Below are 18978 nucleotides of genomic sequence, written 5' to 3'. Positions count from 1 at the left end.
TAGCAGAGGCTGGTTTATGAGGTTTAAGGAAAGAAGGCATCTCCATAACAAAAAAAGTGCAAGGTGAAGTAACAAGTGCTGATGGAGAAGCTGCAGCAAGTTATCCGGAAGATCTAGCTAAGATCATTGATGAAGGTGGCTACACTAAACAATAGAATTTTCAATACAGATGAAATGCCTTGCAGTGGAAGAAGATGCCATCTAGGACTTTCATAGCTTGAGAGAAGTCAATGCCTAGCTTCAAACCATAAAACAGGCTGACTCTCTTGTTAGGGGCTGATGGAGCTGATGACTTTAACTTGAAGCCAATGCTCATTTACCATTCTGAAAATCCTAGGGCCCTTGAGAACGATGCTAAATTAACTCTGCCTGTACTTTATAAATGAAACAACAAAGCCTGGAAAACAGCACATCTATTTATAGCATGGTTTTCTGAATATTTTAAGCCCATCATTGGGACCTACTGCTCAGAAAGAAAAGATTCCTTTCAAAATTACTGCTCATTGACAATGTACCTGGTCAACCAAGAGCTCTGTTGGAGATGTACAAGGTTAATGTTGTTTTCATGTTTGCTAATATATCAGCCATTCAGCTGCCCATGGATCAAGGAGTAATTTCAAATTTCAAGTCTTATTATTTAAGAAATACATTTTGTAAGGCTATAGCTGCCATAGATAGTGATTCCTCTGATGGATCTGGGCAAAGTAAATTGAAAACCTTGTCGAAAGAATTCACTATTCTAGATGCCATTAAGAACATTTGTGATTCACAGGAGGAGGTCAAAATATCAAGATTAACAAGAATTTAGAAGAAATTGAATCCAACCCTCCTGGATGACTTTGAGGGGTTCTAAACTTTAGTGGAGGAAGTCACTGCAAATGTTGTGGAAATAACAAGAGAACTAGAATTGGAAGTAGAGCCTGACCCCAATTTTGAATGAAGTTCTACTGTGGATATAATGCTGTTGAACAGCATCTCATGCTGCTAATAAATATTTTGTGAAAGGAAGAGTAAATTGATAGAGCAAACTTTGTCATTTTGTTTTAAGATATTGTCATAACCACCCCAACTTTCAGCTACCACCACCCTGATTAGTCAGCAGACATCAACATTGAGGTAAAACCCTCCACCAGCAAAAATAATAATAATAATAATAATAACTTGCTGAAGGCTCACATAATCATTAGCATATTTTAGCAATATTTCCTAATTAAGTTATGTACATTGTTTTTTAGACATAATGCTATTGTGCACTTAGCAGACTACAGTATAGTATAAACATAACTATTATATGCACAGGGAACCTAAAAAATCTTGTGTGACTTGCTTTATTGTAATATTCACTTTATTGTGGTTGTCTGGAACTGAACATGCATTATCTCTGAGATATGCCTGTATTAGTCTTTGTATATACCACTGCACTTAGACTGGGCTTTACACGTGGTTGCCACTATACAACTGTTGTTAGGTTTCTGTTAAATTATGCTATTTTTTGAGGGGCAATATAGTATGCTAAGAGCCAGAGTGCAAATGTTCAAATCCTAGCTCTACCACATAACTACCTAATTAATCCATGTGCCTCAGCTTTCTAGTCTGTAAAATGAGGATAACACCAGCAACTGAGCTTCCTCACAGCATTATGAGATTTAAATAAGATAGTATTTGTAAAGTAATCAGAATAGCATTTTCATAATGTTTATTTACTTGCTAAATTAAAAAAAAATAAAAATGTTTTTTAACAGTTCTACCCCTCTTCCCTCCATCAAAAAAAGCCACAAAACCTCACAAATTGGCCAGAGTGGCTGAAAGTACTTATGAGACATAAAACAATTGAATGTTTGCAGTTATATCCTAAAAAAACAAAGACAGGCCACCTAAATGTTTGAATGTCATGAAAGGAATTATCCAGATTTTTGAACACCTACTAAAAGTCTGTTTTTAATCATCCAAAATTACATCAGTATTCAGTTTATGAAAGTATACCTACATACTGCTTGAATCTATAATCCAATTTTACTTGTTCTGGCATCTCAGCATGTAGACTTAAAATAAATGACTATTATTATTATCACTATTATTTTTGGAGACAGTGTCTCACTCTGTCACCCAGGCTGGGGTGCAGTGGTGCAAACATGGCTCACTGTAGCCTAGACCTTCCAGGGTCCAGTGATTCTCCTGCCTTAGCCCCGCAAGTAGCTGGGACTATAGGTGCATGCTACCACATCCAGCTAATTTTTGTATTTTTTGTAGAGATGGGGTTTTGACATGTTGTCCAGGTTGGTCTCAAACTCCTGAGCTGAGGCAATCCACCCGCCTTGGCCTCCCAAAGTGCTGGGATTACAGGCATGAGCCACCGTGCTCGGCCTAAGTAATTATTTTGTATATGAATTTAGTTCAGCAGCTTTAATGTGAGAGCAAGTTGTCATATGCACATCATATTGGGGAAAAATAAGTCCTACAAGATTTAAAGATGAGATTCAGAATAATTCAGTTATTCTTTAAAGACTTTTCTTACCACATCTGAATTTTACACACACACACACACACACACACACACACACACACACACACACACCACACAAAAACTTCTGTCTGCCTTGTCTTCATGTACTCTCAGGTTAGATGAGGGCTTTGGCAGCTAACAGCTTCCACATTTTCAGACAGAATCAGTAAGTAGGTAAAATAAAGTTATGCTCTTTTGAAAAATGTCATAACATGCTTGGCTGATGGGCATATTGGAACCTTTGTAATGAGATGGCAGGGAAAGGAAGCAAGCAAGAACTAGCTGGAACTGAAGTTTTCAGCTGGAGTGAAGGAGGTAGGGTAGGGGATGTAAGGCAGCTAATCCTCTTGCATTGTTCGCCCCTGTGGGGTTGACCTAGGAGATGGAGGGGGCTATGTTTGCAGGTTGAAGACACTGAGAAAGCCACTGAAGTTCCTGTCAAATTTACTCACTCACTCATTAATTCACTTACTCATGACATTTTTATTGAGAGCTTATAAGGTACTACATTTGTACTAGGTGCTGAAATACAGTACTGAACAAAATGGAGAAATTGTCCCTGCTTATCATCATGAACATAGGCATACCTGTCCTACCATGTACAGGAGAGAAAGACACTAGGCAGATGTTCACATAAATATATAATTAAAAATCCCAACAAAGGTTTTGAAGAAAAACTACTGGATGATAAGAGAAAATAGGAGAACTGATTTAGTTCAGAGGGTAGTGGTCAGGGAAGATGTCCTTGTGATTTCAGGTTTAGATAGGCAGGAATTCTTGGGAGAAAAAAGAGATAAAAGCATTCTCAGCAGCGGGAATAGCATGTTGAAAAGGAAAGTGGTGGCAAAGAGCTGGTCAATGACTAGGGTAGCTACAGCACAGTGAATAATTTCCTTTTAAATAAGTTTAAGAAAAATATATATGAACTAGAATATCAGATATATGGAATTAATAAAAATGTATTTTATAATCCCATACACTTCTAAGTCTTCATTATAGGATAATGAGTTGAACCCTGAAGCCAAACAATATTTGTCTTGCTTTGTGTATTTTTATTGGGACGTTTTCCACAACAGAACAGTGAAGACTATACTCTAGGTGTGCTTATAAGGAACACTATATGCATGCATGCACACACCCCTTTACTTTGCCGTTTAAGGGGATTTAATGATGATATTATCTTGCTATTAAATTCATACTAAATTTTCTCTAACTTTTAACTTAAAATCTTTAGATTACATAGAGCTAGTATTACGGCAGAGATAGAAGCCTATGAAATGCAATACTCAATCTTCATAGTCCTCTTCCACTTAAGTCCTATTCCATTAAACATGGCCATGTTATCCAAAGGAGTAATTGGCAAAAATGAAGATTAGTGGTTCATCATGAAAGCGATTAGATTACAGATTGATACTGACATTGTGTTTTCAGGAAAATTTAACATAAGAAAAAAGCCTTTCATTTTTAAATAAGCATGTATAAACAGGTAAAAATAAAACAGAAATTCCTGTGAAATATAAAAAGCTATTATTTAAGCGTATGTTGTTTTGTCTCCAAGGTCCAAGCATTGTTAACTATAATATTCTGTTGTCCCAGCAATAGATCAAGCTAAATAACTATTTGTGTTTTATAACAGCGGCAGCTCAGTATGTTTCCCCTAACTTAACAAATAGTAACATGAAGCAAAAAAGAAATCAATCCAGGCACTGAAAACATTATTAACATCATCATACAAGGCCACATGTTTTTTCAAGTCAAGCCTTTCAAATGCACTCATTTATTCATTAAAGCACAAATTCCTCTGTATATGGAATGTGTACCATGCACAAAGCAACAGGATAGAGTGCGGAAAGACCCCTGGAGTAGGTGATTTGGTTCTAGTCCTGACAACAGTACTTGTATTTTTTTTTGCAAAACAGCTTTTGTAAATCATTTCTGAGTTTGAGTTTTGTTATTTGCAAATAGGGTTGCTGTGAAGTTCAAAAGACATATCAAATGTGGAAACTTCCTTGCTAACTGTGAAAGCACTAAATAAGGGCAAGGTGAGATCCTCAAGGGAACTCAAGAGCCTAGTAAAAACCCCACCAATTAGAGTTCTCTCTTTTACAACATTGGTTATAGATATCCAATACGCACTTGGGGGTTAGCGATTATTTTGCTTCTTCTAAACCTGAGAACAGAGTTAGGAAATACCCAGCCTTCTACTCTGGAATTGGTGTATCAGCATTATAGGGGAAGATCTCCCCCAAAGTTAACAATATTCCTTACTCTGTGCTGGTCCTCTGTCAAAAATTAGTTGAGATAGATGTCAACTATCTGGGAAATACCATGTTACAGATTCAAGACATATAATAAAAACAGGAGGCAAAAGTGGACTCTGATTTCTTTCTTAGAATAAATTTCTAGAAGTGAAGTTAGTAGATCAGATTCTTGATATACATAACTAAACAATGTCCTTCAGAAAGGTGGTAACAATTTATACTCCTCAAAAATATTCGCAATATTCCTGATTACCAATTTGGCTCACCTTTTACTGTCTTCCCTAATTTAATACTTCATAATTCACAAGACTTAACTACTTTCCTTCCGCACACAGTATAACATCTGTCAGGATATGCATGACAGAATGGAGCAGGCTGAGTATTTAAATGTGCCTTCAATGACTCACTACTCTCAGGATAAATCCAAACTTTTAATAATTTGTACACTCTGAGTCAAAGTGATGGTCTCTTCTTCCTTCTCTAGGTTCATCTCTCACTACCAACTACCCTCTCGAATAGGCCATCTGTCCCTCATCTTCAAACTTTTGTTCAGGGTATTACTTATGACTGGAACACCAGATTCTAGAGGAAGCTCAGTGCTCATACAGCTCTTCTGAATAGTGGTAATAACAAAAGTGGTCCCCTTTCAAACGACTAAGAGTACTGATTTCAGGCTGACTCTGAATGTCTGTGGAAAAAATAATAATTCAATCGATCAGTCATTTAACGGAGCAGATTCTGATACAGGCACTAGTGTCTTAGAGACTTCTGAGAGTATGTAACTGGGGAGAAGGGAGGGTAAAGAATGAGGCACCTAGGAGTGCTAATAACACTATAGTCCAAAAAAAAAAACATTTTTCTACACTCTAGTTTTATGGAAGAGCTATAGAATAAGTAGATGATTTAAGAGATTTGCTCAGAGAAACAACTCAATTGTAAGTTATTAAATCTTTCACATTTTGAATGCCTAGATGCTATACCTTCTACAGCAGGGGCAGATTAAAATTTTTTTGATATTTTAAGCATTAAGCACAATCATTCAAATTACTTAAAAACTTGCAGTCCATGTTTTTCAAGGGCTCCTAATAAGAAGCTATAGTTCCAGTGACACAACAAACTCCTTTTAACCAAAATGGTTTAACATGCATAATTTTGTGGATTAAATGTTCTTGCTAACATGATTCTCAGCTTCCACACGGCCATTATCCTAGTTTCTCATCATCCATATGGCCTGGACTTAATAGCCCTGCTTCTGATCTCTCAAATGACGCTCTGCACTAGAGAGATCCAATAGGCCGATTTGATCACGCAAGTTCCCAGTTCAAAATTATTCAATAGCTCTTTATTACTGCAGGAAAGAAACTAAGTACTTTATCATACAGTTCCTCATCTAACCTTTACCTATGACTCCAGGCCCATCTACTGTCCTTTCCTCATGCCATTTCCTCCAATTGTTAATAAACCAGCAATCATAAGCCACACAAAATCCTTGGAACATGCCACATTCTCACACATTTGTGGCGCACCTGCATATGCCTTCGCACTAAAATACTGCTTCTCATATTTTATTCTCCATTCAAATGCTCCCCACTCTGAAGCCTTTTCTCACTTCCCCTAAAGACTAAGGCTCTATTTCTCCTATGTTCCTCTTATACTTTCTGCACCCACCCATCACAACAGTTAAGTTATACTGGGACTCTCAGCATGTCTTTCTCCCCATAAAATGGTGTCTCACGTCTTCCCATTTTACCTCTAGCCCTACTCTCCATGTCTAGAAAATAATAGATGGTCATTTTTAAATGGAATCATGACTATATTAAAATTATATCTTTAATGTTGAATTTTATAGCTATCTGTGCATTGCATAGTATCACACTGATGATTAATCAGCTATTTATTATTGTTCTCCATCAATTTTGTGCATATTAAGTTATCCCATTAAAATCCAACTTGCTACAACTATGAACTCATTGAACACATAAACTTAAGAAAAAAATCAATTACCCATCATTTTTTAAGGGCATAAACTTTAAAGTTAGGCTCTTTTGTGAAAATCTAGTAAAAGGATAAAAATAACCTAGACTTTACCCAAAAGAGTCACTTGCCAGTCTTCCAATAAAAGCTGTATTGAAGAGTCTTTGAAATTTTACTTACATGGTATAGTGTGGTCTCTGGCACAGGAGTGCCCATGATGTCTTGTCTCAGTGCATCCATTTGTAAACTAGGTAGCAATGAATAGTGAGTTGGGCTATTACTCTTATCACCCTTCTTTTTTGACTTCTTCCCTGTGTCCTTTTTGCTGTTTCTCTGAAACATGTATTCTTCTTGAGCAATCTTTTCATTGCTCATATACCGAAGTAGAGAGTTTTCTATATAAAAAGAGATAAATACACCAATATAAATACACAAATACCCCAAATTTACCATTCTTTCTCAATTGTGCTATTAGGTTGGCGCAAAAGTAATTGCAGTTTTTCCCATTACTTTTAATTGCAAGAACCGCAATTACTTTTGCCCCAATCTAATATATTTCATTTCAGAACTTTAACTTGATTTAACTTATAAAATATGTAGTGAAATACAGTATATCTTAATTATTTGGTATGATAAGACAATAAAAAATAGACAGTCGATAGATTATTTCTCCAAGTTTTAGCTTTGGACCAACTACATTAGAATCACCTCTGGAACTTGAATCAGAAATTCTAGGTGTGTGGCTTATAAAATTTGTAACAATCACCCTCATGGGGATTTTGCCAAAGCCCAATAACAAACACCGGCCCGTGGCATGCAAGGTAGCATGCTTGGAGAAGTTAAGGCCCACATTAAGAACCAATAGTCAGGAAATTTAGTTCAGGAATTCTATGCTTAAATTGGTAGTCAGCTCTTAGTACTTCACATGGTTCCCCTCCCCATCAACAAAAGTCTCTAAAATATGAAGTCCCAAAACAGTGACTCTGAGATAGCATGTGATAAGCATTTCTCTTTTATACTTTTCTTGATTTATTCTATAGAACAAATGAGATTAGAAATTGAAGATTGGAAAATGGAATGAATACACAGATATAAAGGAATCTGTCAATGTTCCTGTATTTATCAACATTTTCAGAAATGCTCACTCCATAAAACAAGTATTAAGAAGACTAATGAATCAGATATTCATGCTTGCTTGTCCATATGGTCTGCGGATCTGTGCAGTAATAAAATAAATTCTGTATACTGGCTAGAAATAACAAGAAAACGGGTCAAACATATCATGAAGGAAGCTTAGTGAACTTACATTCTATGAATAGTTTTTTGTTTTGATTTGTTTTATTTTCCACCTACGACCTTACGGCTCTCTACTTCAGAAAGTCAAAGTAGCAGCATGACCCACTGGGCCCACCATACCCACACTTGATCAAATCCTATTTAGTAGGGAAACTTTCAGTTGCTCTCTATTGCTCATCTCTATAGCAGGATAAGTGAACATAAAAACTTACTTTTGGTAGATCCTTCAAGAGTAGCCCACCCCCATGTAAGAAGATAACTCTGAGCAGCAAACAGAACAGGAAAAAAAAGCACGGTTTTTTTTTTTTCTATTTCTACATGGTTTTTGTTAGAAGTCACTGGCCCAGTTTCCATTAGCTTTTAACCCATGTGCTTCAATGCTCATTTTGAGGTTGATTCCATACAAAACTGGTGAGGTTGCATTGCAGACCGATGAGGACTGATGATAAACTCTTCCTATTCACTGAACTTAATTATTTTATGCAGTTTCACACTCCTGACCTTGTGTTCCAAATATTACCTTTCAAATAATAATCAGATATTTACTTTTAACACCATACTTATGTACCTGGAACCCCTTAGAAGGCATTCAGAGACAATATCTGTTTAATAATGGGTCAAGATAGTCAAATGTTGGTCTTACTTGGTTTTGTTGTACAATAAAGTCAATGATAGAATAAGTTTTCCACTGAAGCCATAACAATCTATTTACAGAACATTTAAATTTGCTTATTGTTCAAACAACCCAGCCTACACTGAAATTCTAGAACACTTACCTCTTCTACTATCTCTCTTCATCTTATTTGGATCTTCATAGTCCCCCACCCAATTATATTCCACTGGCATAGATATAGGTCGTAGCTTGCCTAAACACAGAGAACAAAGTTCACATCACATTGTTTTTCTTCCCCATGTCTGCTCAAACTTACACTGATTTTTAGCTAAAGTCTACCAAACACACTCACTCTTATGCAACATTATGGTTGGCATTTGTGTAGATGGAGAAAATGTGTTTTGAGCCAGAAGGTGAAATTGCCTATTGGCCAGGTGATAAAGCAAACTTAAGGTACTTTTTATAAATAATAATGAATAGCCTAGGTTAGCTCTCTTAGGAACCCCAGACTTTAAGGGTATAGTTTTTTTTTTTTTTTTTTAAAGAAGATAATCATATAAGTGATTTTACTCAGTAACTGGATCTCTATCTTATTTCCTAACATCCAAGTGTCTATATCTTGACAGCCAACCTCCAAAATGGTAGCTCTCTGTGTTTAACCTGACTACCAGACATTAACCCACTGTTTCAAGTTGGAACACCACAAGGATAACTTTTTATCTTCGCTGCTTCCCATCTCCTATCACCATACATTTTGGACACCACCATGCCTCAAAAATATGGTTAGATTCTCTTTCATGTCCTACAGCTGAGTCTGCTTCTAAGCATCTCTTTTGCTACAGTGAGCCTGTCCAGTATAGAGATCCAAGTAATCACTGCTTTGGTTTGCTCCATTTCCCCCTGGGTCTGTATCCTTACTAAACAGCATTTTAATTCAGCAAGGAGAACTCATGGCAAAGACTTCAAGAATAACTTTTATTTTGGTGAGGCTGCAGTATATTATTTCTGTTCCACTTGAAATTCCTGAAGCCTAAAACAGCCAAATAAAATAATTCAGAAGTTTTAACAGGATACCTAGCAAAATGCCTGGCATGAAATAGTCGCTTAATAAATTTCTAGTGAATGAAAAGCGGAGACTCACACAGGACTGGATCATACAAATAATAATGGTTATTATGATTCTGATAATATTATAAACATTTATATGTCATTTGCCATATACCACATACTAAGAGTTTCATAAGTATTAAATTGTTTACTCCTGATAATTCAGAGAACTATACTATCATTATCCTCATTTTAACTGATGAGGAAACTAAGGTTATATAACTTGCCCAAGGACATATACCTGGTAAGTACATAGTATCAGGATTCAAACCCAGGCACTCACACTTCTGTCATAATTCTTGGTGACTTCAATATTCACCCTCTGAGAGTCTGGCCTTTCAGTTTCTTGAGGTTCTCTCTCACACTCATTCCTGTCGTCATATGCTTAGTCTCATCAGCAAAGACTGCAATCCCTTTAAATATCCAGCTTACGAACTACCACCTTTTGTATTTCTAGCACACTACCTACAGTACTCCAACAATTCTTCCTCCTTTAATCTATTAATACCTGTCATACCACTTTTCAGTATCTGTCAGTCACCTTCTGTCCCTGCAGCTTCCCTCCTTGCCCAGCTAAATTTTATGATTATTAAAATCACTCAATGTGCTTTAAAAAATTCTGTCAGGAGAATTCTAATTCTGTTCTTAAGGAAAAAGTATCAATCTTATGGCTTTTTATTGTGAACACTGATACAGTTTAGTCTGTTTTGCTAAGCTCTTTTAAAATCTGAAGATTAACTAGACATGATAAAATTATTAATGAGCCAAAAATGTAATATTTATTTAATGGCTTCCTTTCAAGGTATGCAAACAACTTTGTAAATGATCACCTAATATTCCAAATTCTCCAACAGTATATCTCTGCTCTTTTACACAGAGGGAATTTGAGTGAGATGATCTGAGGCAGGATAGGTAGTCAAGGAAGTAAACATGTCCTCACATGGCGACAATACAGTTAACACAATAAGCCCCAGCACTCACACTGTAGTCCAGCTCATTCAAACACAGCTATCTACAGTAAGGAATTTCCCCTGCAGGGAGCACATGCATTTTGATTACACCTGTCCTCAGACCGACCCTTTGTTCATTATAACAGTAAGCAACACACCCCTGGATAGAGATTTAAGATGCTAATGAGACATGCAATGTATGAACAAGTATGTACAGCTACTATGCATGTGCACCCAGAGGACAACCAAGAATATGCTTAATAGCAACACCTCTTCCCACTCCTTTATGAATAATTATGTAAGACTCTCATAAAGGGAGTCTCCCTAGTGCCAGTCTTGGTGGTCTCATCCTTAGGAGCAGCTCACCCTGAATCCTCTCTCAGGGTGTACTGTCTGTTCTGAACCTAACTTTCATAATATTCTTTGTCCTTTGCAATAAATTGCTCTATACTATATCTCCTTTGCTGTGTGTCTCTTGTTTAAATTCTTTTAAGCTAAGAAGAACCGAGGTCTCACAACAGCCATCTATAGATCCAGGTCAATATTCTGCCCATCGAAAGTAGGGTAAAGGTTTGAGGGAAGGTCTCCTTTTGTTATGTCTATTCCCACCACTTTGCACAGTCAGTCCTCCAGATTTTCAATGTTATGAAGGCTGTATTTTCAAAATATCTACAATTTATTTCTTTAGGATCTGGTTTTAGAAATAAACTCTACTTCAGCATGGGCACTGAAACTGAAGCAATTAACAGCTCTAGCACTGTTTTTACATGTCATCAAAAAATCTTTTGAAAAGTGAAAATCCAATAAATAAGCAGTTGTTTCACTTGCTCTATATGTTATATATATTAAAAAGCTAGTTAGATATTTTTTGAAAATTGGTTGTTTGGAGACAAACATATGTGCACAAAAACAAGAAGAAACATACTTCACACACAGAATATGAAATACATAATTGTATTCATTATATTTTGCGTCATCTCTGAAATTTTAATGGAGCTAAGTCATTGAAGCATGTAATTAAGCCCTTGATATGTCTGGTTGTATAATTAGCCATAGAAACAATTATGCAGAAGATTTTTAACACTGACTTTTCCGGGGGTGACTTTTTTTTTTTAACAGAATTATACTGTATATTACTAATACACAATTGAAGGAAAATATACTAAATTAGAAAAAAACCGAAAGAAAAAGCTTTACTGAAATTTACTTTTGGAGAACATCAAGGTTTTGCTTTTATTAGTTATAAAACCATAGATTCAGCAATGCAAATAAAAATAAGTATTTTAAAAAATAAAGTATATTATTGATTTAGGTAGAACAAATAATGTTGCTTATAAGTATTGATTTTTAATTGTGCTGAAATACTGAAGTCGACTTAATAAAGCAGTTAAACCAATAACATAAGGTAACATTCTTGTATAAATAGCAGTCCATGGCAGACTGAAAAATAGACCATGGCTTAAATTATTTCTAATTCCAAATATACAGATCATTGATTACAGCTTGAAAATATGTTTGCTACTGCATGTATACAGCAGCATTTTAATTTCACAGGACAGCAAAGTTCAAATGGAAAGATAAATCTATGATTCAATGTTTTAGTGCTGTTGGTAAAAAACCAAGTGAAACAAAACACCAAAGGCAAGAGTACTATAAGCATTATAGACTTAAATCAAATATATGCTATTATTAATACATGCAAAGTATTTTTATACTCATATGACTTTTTAAGGCTTTAATACAAATGGATTGGTTTAATAAAATTAAATACATCTGACCCATTCCTGTGTAAATGAACATAAATAAAACATAAATCTCTGAAAAGTAATCTGGAAAAGTTTAAGACATATCTTTACATAGTAGTACTTATATTGGTTTTTGAAGTTGTAAAGTTAAGATTACTAATTCATGATAAGAATAATAACAGCAAAGAATATAATCTAGAAAACGAGGATTAGGGCCCATTTAAATATTTTTGCTGACCACTTCTTAATTTTTTATTCCTTTAAGTATAAAGCATGCATTAATTGCAGAGTTCATTTGGCACCCTATCATAAGCCTTGTGATACCACTGTGCTAGTGCCTCATAGTATAACCATTATTTTATTTGGCTTTTAATATCTGTTGCACATCTAGAGTTTTTTAATTGGTGTCTCCATAGAGGCAGAAATTTTGTGCTGTATTTATTCCTGTATTCTAATAAATGTGGTAAAGGTAAAAGATAAATATTTTTATAGAGGCACACAGAAAAAAAGATAACTATTTTTTGGATTTTGTCTGAATTTTATTATGATATTGATGGCAAGTAGGTTTTTAAGAATTATGGACTATATTCAGCGCAATTAAGCAAATGTAACACAAAATACAATTTTAAGAATATAGACAATGATGAAGTGCTGTATAATGATATATCCTAATTACTGTATTTTAATACAAAATTGCTATGCTTTAATGCTAGTGTACAACATTGCTTGAAAATAAACTAATTTTTACCTCAGATAAGCATTTTAGGTGATATCACAAATGCTACAATCCCCTTTGGCAGAGTTAACTGCTCACTCTACTGGGCTCCCTAAGCTTTTTCCTAGTGCCTTTAGCATATATACAATACTTATTATACTGTATTGTGACATTAGGGAGATCTGAAATTACTGGGTTGCTCATTGGATCCTATTCCCTCCGACCTACTCAAGGGCATGCCTTGAGCAATCCTCCCTTCTTTCTCCTGCATCATCAACTTTTCTCTTTCTACTCAGTCATTCCCATTAGCATATAAACATGCTGTAATTTCTCCAATCGTTTTTTAAAAAGTAACTCTCCTCACCCCACAAACCTCTACCCAGCTACCACCTTATTTTTTGTTTCTCTTTACAGAAAACCTTGTAGAAAGCTTCTTTATATTTGTAGCCCCCAATTCTTCTCCTCCCCTCTTGAATCTTCCCCGATTAAGCTCTTGTCCCCACTATTCCACCAAAACTGCTATTGTCAAGGTTTTTAGGGCCTCCATGTTGCTAAATCCAATACACAATTCTCAGAGTCCTTGACTTTTCTGATGTATCTGTAGCATTAGCACCGAGTACTACTCCTTCCTTGAAACACTTTCCTTACCCGGCACCCTAAGACTCTGTCTTCTGATTTTCCTCTCTTCTTATCATAAATTCACATGCATCCTTCAGAGCTAAGCAAAAATGTCATTTCCTTAGGGATACAATCCTTGGCCTCTCATTCTAGGTCAGGATTCTCTGTGTTTGTCTCATTTCCTCTCAAAGTTCTTCTTTGTAGCATGACAATTATAGTCACGTAAGTATTTATTAATTTAGTTACTTGAATTCTGTCACCCTTCTAGACTGTAAACTTCATGGGAGAAGACAGACTTTTCTACTGTCTACTGTGGTATCTCCCACACTTAGCGCAGTACCTTAAACACAGTAACTGCTCAATATTTAACTCACTGCTTGTTAAGAAAGTAAATAGGGGACTTTCCTCAGACACTAGACCAAAAAGGATCCAAGCTGTATCATTAGTTTCTATTTTCGTAGTTTCTTTCCCTTTCCTTCCTTCTAATTTTCCATTTCCTTCTTTTCCTCCCTCTTCCTTCCTTCTAAGGCAAGTATGTTACCCTCACCAATACTCTTCATTTTTCTGACAAACTGAGCTTTACAGAACTGTTTGCCAATCAAGTCAGAACTAGTTCTGTCTCTTGATTTCTTATCTACATACATTCCCATGTTGTCTGTTGAAACACCACTGAATTGCTGCCTTTTTCATTTGTATCGCTTTTAAAAACTCTCTAAAAGCACGCTAAAGTCATTAAGTTTCAGGGTAATAAACAGCACCTGAGAAGCAATCTTCTCTTACAGTTGTCAAAGATTTAAAAAAATTTTCAAAGAAATTTCTCCATAAGTCTGACATGCCCTTTAATGTTCACAAAAAAGCTTTCTCTAGAGTCTCAGAAAAAGTATACACATATATACATCTGTTCTGAATATTTTAGCCAATATTTTGATGAAAATGAGTATAGTGAGTATAGTTAAGCTATATGCTTGCCACATACACCCATCAAAAACCCCACATACCAGACAGAAAAATTACTTTCAGATGGCTGACTGAATTTCTAGGAAAACATCCTGGGGTTATTTAAGGTAGAGAATCACACATTTAAAGAGGAAGTAAAACTGAATTAAATGGAAAGTCAGTAATTTTTAAAGGATAATGGTAACATATCTGGATCCAGTAAAATAAGAATGAACGATCTGATCTTTATAGGCATATTTTAAAAATTTCATTTCTGGATAAAAGAGGCTGAAGAAATTGGTTTGTAAACATTTCAATGTGAGGATTATTTAAGGATTACCTTTAATGACTTATAAATAATACAAATCAAATATAAACTTTGTATTGATTAATTTAAAATCTTTTCAGTTTCATTGACAGAGAACAAAACCAGTTAAAATCTCATTTCCAAAATAACCCCATAAAAAAAGTGGGCAAAGGACATGAACAGACACTTTTCAAAAGAAGACATACATGCTGCCAACAATCATATGGAAAAAAGCTCAACATCGCTAATCATTAGGGAAATGCAAATCAAAACCACAATGAGACATCATCTCACACCTGTCAGAATGGCTATTACCAAAAAGTAAAAAAAAAAAAAAAGAAAGACAGATGTTGGTGAGGTTGTGGAAAAAAAGAAAAAAGGAACTCTTATACACTGTTGGTGGAGTATAAATTGGTTCAGCCATTGTGGAAGACAGTGTGGCAATTCCTCAAAGACCTAAAGACAGAAATACTATTTGACCCAGCAATCCTATTACTGGGTATATACCCACAGGAATAGAAGTCATTCTATTATAAAGACATATGCATGTGTATGTTCATTGCAGCACTATTCACAATAGCAAAGACATGGAATCAACATAAATGTCCATCAATGATAGACTAGATAAAGAAAATGTGTCACATATAAACCATGGAATACTATGTGGTCATAAAAAAGAACAAGATCATGTTGTTTGCAGGGACCTGGATGGAGCTGGAGGCCATTATGCTCAGCAAACTAACACAGAAACAGAAAACCAAATACTGCATGTTCTCACTTACAAGTGGGAGCTAAATGATGAGAACACATGGATACACAGAGGGGAACAACATACACTGGAGCCTTTTGGAGGGTGGAAGGTGGGAGGAGGGAGAGGATCAAGAAAAACAACTAACGGGTACTAGTCTAAACACCTGAGGATAAAATAATCTGTACAACTAACCCCATGACACAGGTTTACCTATGTAACAATCCCACACTTGTACCCCTAAACTTAAAGTTAAAAAAATCATTTCCAAGAATAAGCTCCATTGTGGTTGTGTATTTTCCTACTGCTTTCTAAAAGTGATATATACTTTAAATGGGGAATAACATGAAAGAATTGCTAAAGGAGAAAATACTGAACTGCGTCAAAAAATTATGCGGCACTTCTAACACCTAATTCCAAGGCTAATTATATTTTGAACCAAATTACCTTTTGTAAGTATTCCACCACAAGAGGGAACAAGCTATACATACACATTGGAGTTTGGAAATCTGTTGAAATAGCTGAAATAGTTGAAATGTTGTCTCTGTTCATAGAGACAATTTCTCTACATTAGAGGGGTGTGGGAGGAATGAGAAAGGATTTAGATGATTTAAATACTGTTTAAGTGGCAAAAGAGTTCTGGGTACTCTGAAGGCTCTGGTTGGTATAAAATGAGCTAGGCTAAAATACTTGTCTCTTTGCTGTGCTCAGCATTGATATAAATGTGAACAAGAAAGATGACACAGGCATGTAAATATTATTGGTTAAAAGCATGCAGTTCTCAAGTTAAAGAACTGCAAATTAAAGCAGTCTAGTTTTAAAAATTTTAGTAAAGCAGTGTGTCTTGCAAATCCTATCAGCATATGGAAGACAGTCACTCTCATGAAAAGTAAAAAAAGATAATAAGGTAACTAGTTGAACATTCTTATTTGAAAATAAATGACATCTTGTAATAACTTTACAATTCCTTTCACCTATTTTTCTGAGACCATTACTTGTTAGTGAAGCCAGCAAGAAAGGTAGAGATGAAAAACTTCAGACAGACCAAAGTTTTTTTTTTTTTGTAATGGAAACATCACTTTTATTGACAATGTAGGACCCTAATGGACACATTCACAGAACAAAAATAAGACAATTAGAAGACAATGGAGTGTAAAAGTACAGCACACAGGTTAATACTCTTCACCCTCATCCTCTCCCTGATTTCACAGATAATCTGATTTCACAGATATTCAGTGAAAAAAAACTAAAGAAGTTTCAGGGTAATAAACACTTAGAGTCAGTCCATGAATACAGACTTTCAAGTTCCTATCCCAGACCTCTTTTCACTACATCAAATTGCCTCAGTGATGTATCATTCAAGACCATTACATTAGACAAAAATCCAATTAATTTTTCTTCAAAAATTTAATGGCATGTATGATTAGTTTTTTTTTGTTTGTTTAAGTGTCCTCACAGCCAGTTTGCAACTCTTGCAAAATACTAAGGCTATGTGAAGAACTAGTGGAGGATTACAGCATAAACTGTGGATGCAACTTTTTGTTTGTGGTCCAATACCTTAACAATGATGGCAAATAAATTGGTATGACATGATGTGTTGCTTATAAAACAATGCTAAGTTGTCATATGTACATTTTTAAATGGCTGTATACTGTTTTAATTATTTGCTCTAATGTCTCCAGTCATTATTCAGTGTGTAATTTTTACTTATCTCTTTTTGAACACTGAATATTACACCTGACATTTTCTATCCCCAAGGATCTATTTCTTCCATGACTTCTGGCAAATTGTTTTGCAGTGATAGTAGTAATTCCACAAGTGGCTTGAAGTATAGAACACCATGTAATGATCTTTCTAGATAGTTTTTCTTACTTTAGTTTGAACTTTCATCATAAATAAGATTTACTCTAGAAAGTAGTTTACATATGGCTTTTCTACAAGATAAGAATGAAGAATGAAGATGACATTCAATAATCCAACCGCTGGGCAGGCTTAAATATTGAGAACAGAGGTTGTTCTATATGCTTATCTGTAAGTCAGCTGTTTGGAACTTAAGACACAAAGAAATCGTATCATTGGTAGTTGGGTCTTTAAGAAGAGCTGCAAAAGTCTTTTACAATATTTTCCAAAATACATTCCATAAAACATTAGTTCCATTGGGAAGCTGGTAAGTATTATGTGACCAAAAAAGGGATTTAATATACAAACACATTTGGGAAACAGTAAATTAACCCAAATTCAACAAAACTTTCAAAGATGTAGTATGTGAATGTGAATTTATTAATCTCCAAGAGGGGCCTAAAATATGTAAAACTTCCCAATCTTATTTAACCATATAACCTCTTTCTTCCATAGGCTATCTTTCAGAACTAGTGATCTGAAGAACGTACTTAGGAAATCGCTGGATTACTTAAGTCATATTGTGATCTGAAAGCTAACATGAATAGCCCTATTTAAACTTTACCTAGCTACCATTTATTATAGTTTTTTTTTTTTTTCTCATGGGGGAAAATGTATTCGGATTTCGACTAGGGATAAACGTATTGTCTCCTGCTCCAGGGGATGTCATGATTAGATTATCTATTGTAGAACAGGCTAGGTAATCCCTGACGCTAACAACCTTAAATGAATACTTCTGTCCAGAGAATATACTAACTGTGAATAAATGTTGGTATATCTTTCCAGGGCAGTAACTTCCCAGGTTCTTTCAATTAAAAAAATATAAGGCAATCACCTCTGTGCCATACAAGGTCTCTGACTTTGATTTTCTAGTATCTGCTTCTGTATTCAATTTATTTGTAAATTGATTCTTAAGTTAGCCAGGGTTTCTCAGACATTTCAGGCCAGATCATTCTTGTTGGGTGCTGTCCTGAGCACTGCAGGATGTTTAGTAGCATCTTTGGTCTCTACCCATTAGATGCCAGTAGCAACTTTCCACCACAAATGTGACAACAAAATTGTCCCCGGAAATTACCAAATGTCCCCTGGGGGACAATACTGAACCCAGAGAATCACTGAGTGAGACTGTTTCTCTTCTTGGCTTTCCCATTCTGTTTATAAGGGAACACTATTTCATCTAGTTCATATCTTTTCGATTAATTCATCTGAAGAGGTTTTTTTCCCCCCTCATAGTTGCATCAGCTATGTTGATTTGGTTTGCTAATACTTCTATTTTATCTACATATGAATACCACCGAACTTTATT

At 35.3% G+C, this 18978-nt stretch overlaps 1 protein-coding gene across 8 annotated transcripts in view; it reads right to left on the bottom strand.

Moving 5' to 3' along the window:
• CNKSR2 (connector enhancer of kinase suppressor of Ras 2) overlaps nucleotides 1-18978 on the bottom strand; it is a 280272-nt gene that overhangs the window by 84319 nt on the left and 176975 nt on the right. For 4 of the 8 annotated variants that reach the window (NM_014927.5, NM_001330770.2, NM_001168648.3 and 1 more), the window contains 2 exons: nucleotides 8811-8900; nucleotides 6919-7133 (listed from right to left, as the gene is read on the bottom strand). In NM_014927.5, coding sequence (NP_055742.2) covers nucleotides 6919-7133; nucleotides 8811-8900 — 305 coding nt within the window. The remainder of the gene's footprint in view (nucleotides 1-6918; nucleotides 7134-8810; nucleotides 8901-18978) is intronic. The other 4 variants (NM_001168647.3, NM_001330772.2, NM_001330773.2 and 1 more) reach the window with 1 other exon arrangement.

Source organism: Homo sapiens, chromosome X (assembly GCF_000001405.40).
Source record: "Homo sapiens chromosome X, GRCh38.p14 Primary Assembly".
In the NCBI taxonomy this organism is placed as follows: domain Eukaryota; kingdom Metazoa; phylum Chordata; class Mammalia; order Primates; family Hominidae; genus Homo; species Homo sapiens.
Note: the sequence above shows the minus strand (reverse complement) of the source record. Positions and strands in the feature narration are given on the sequence as shown.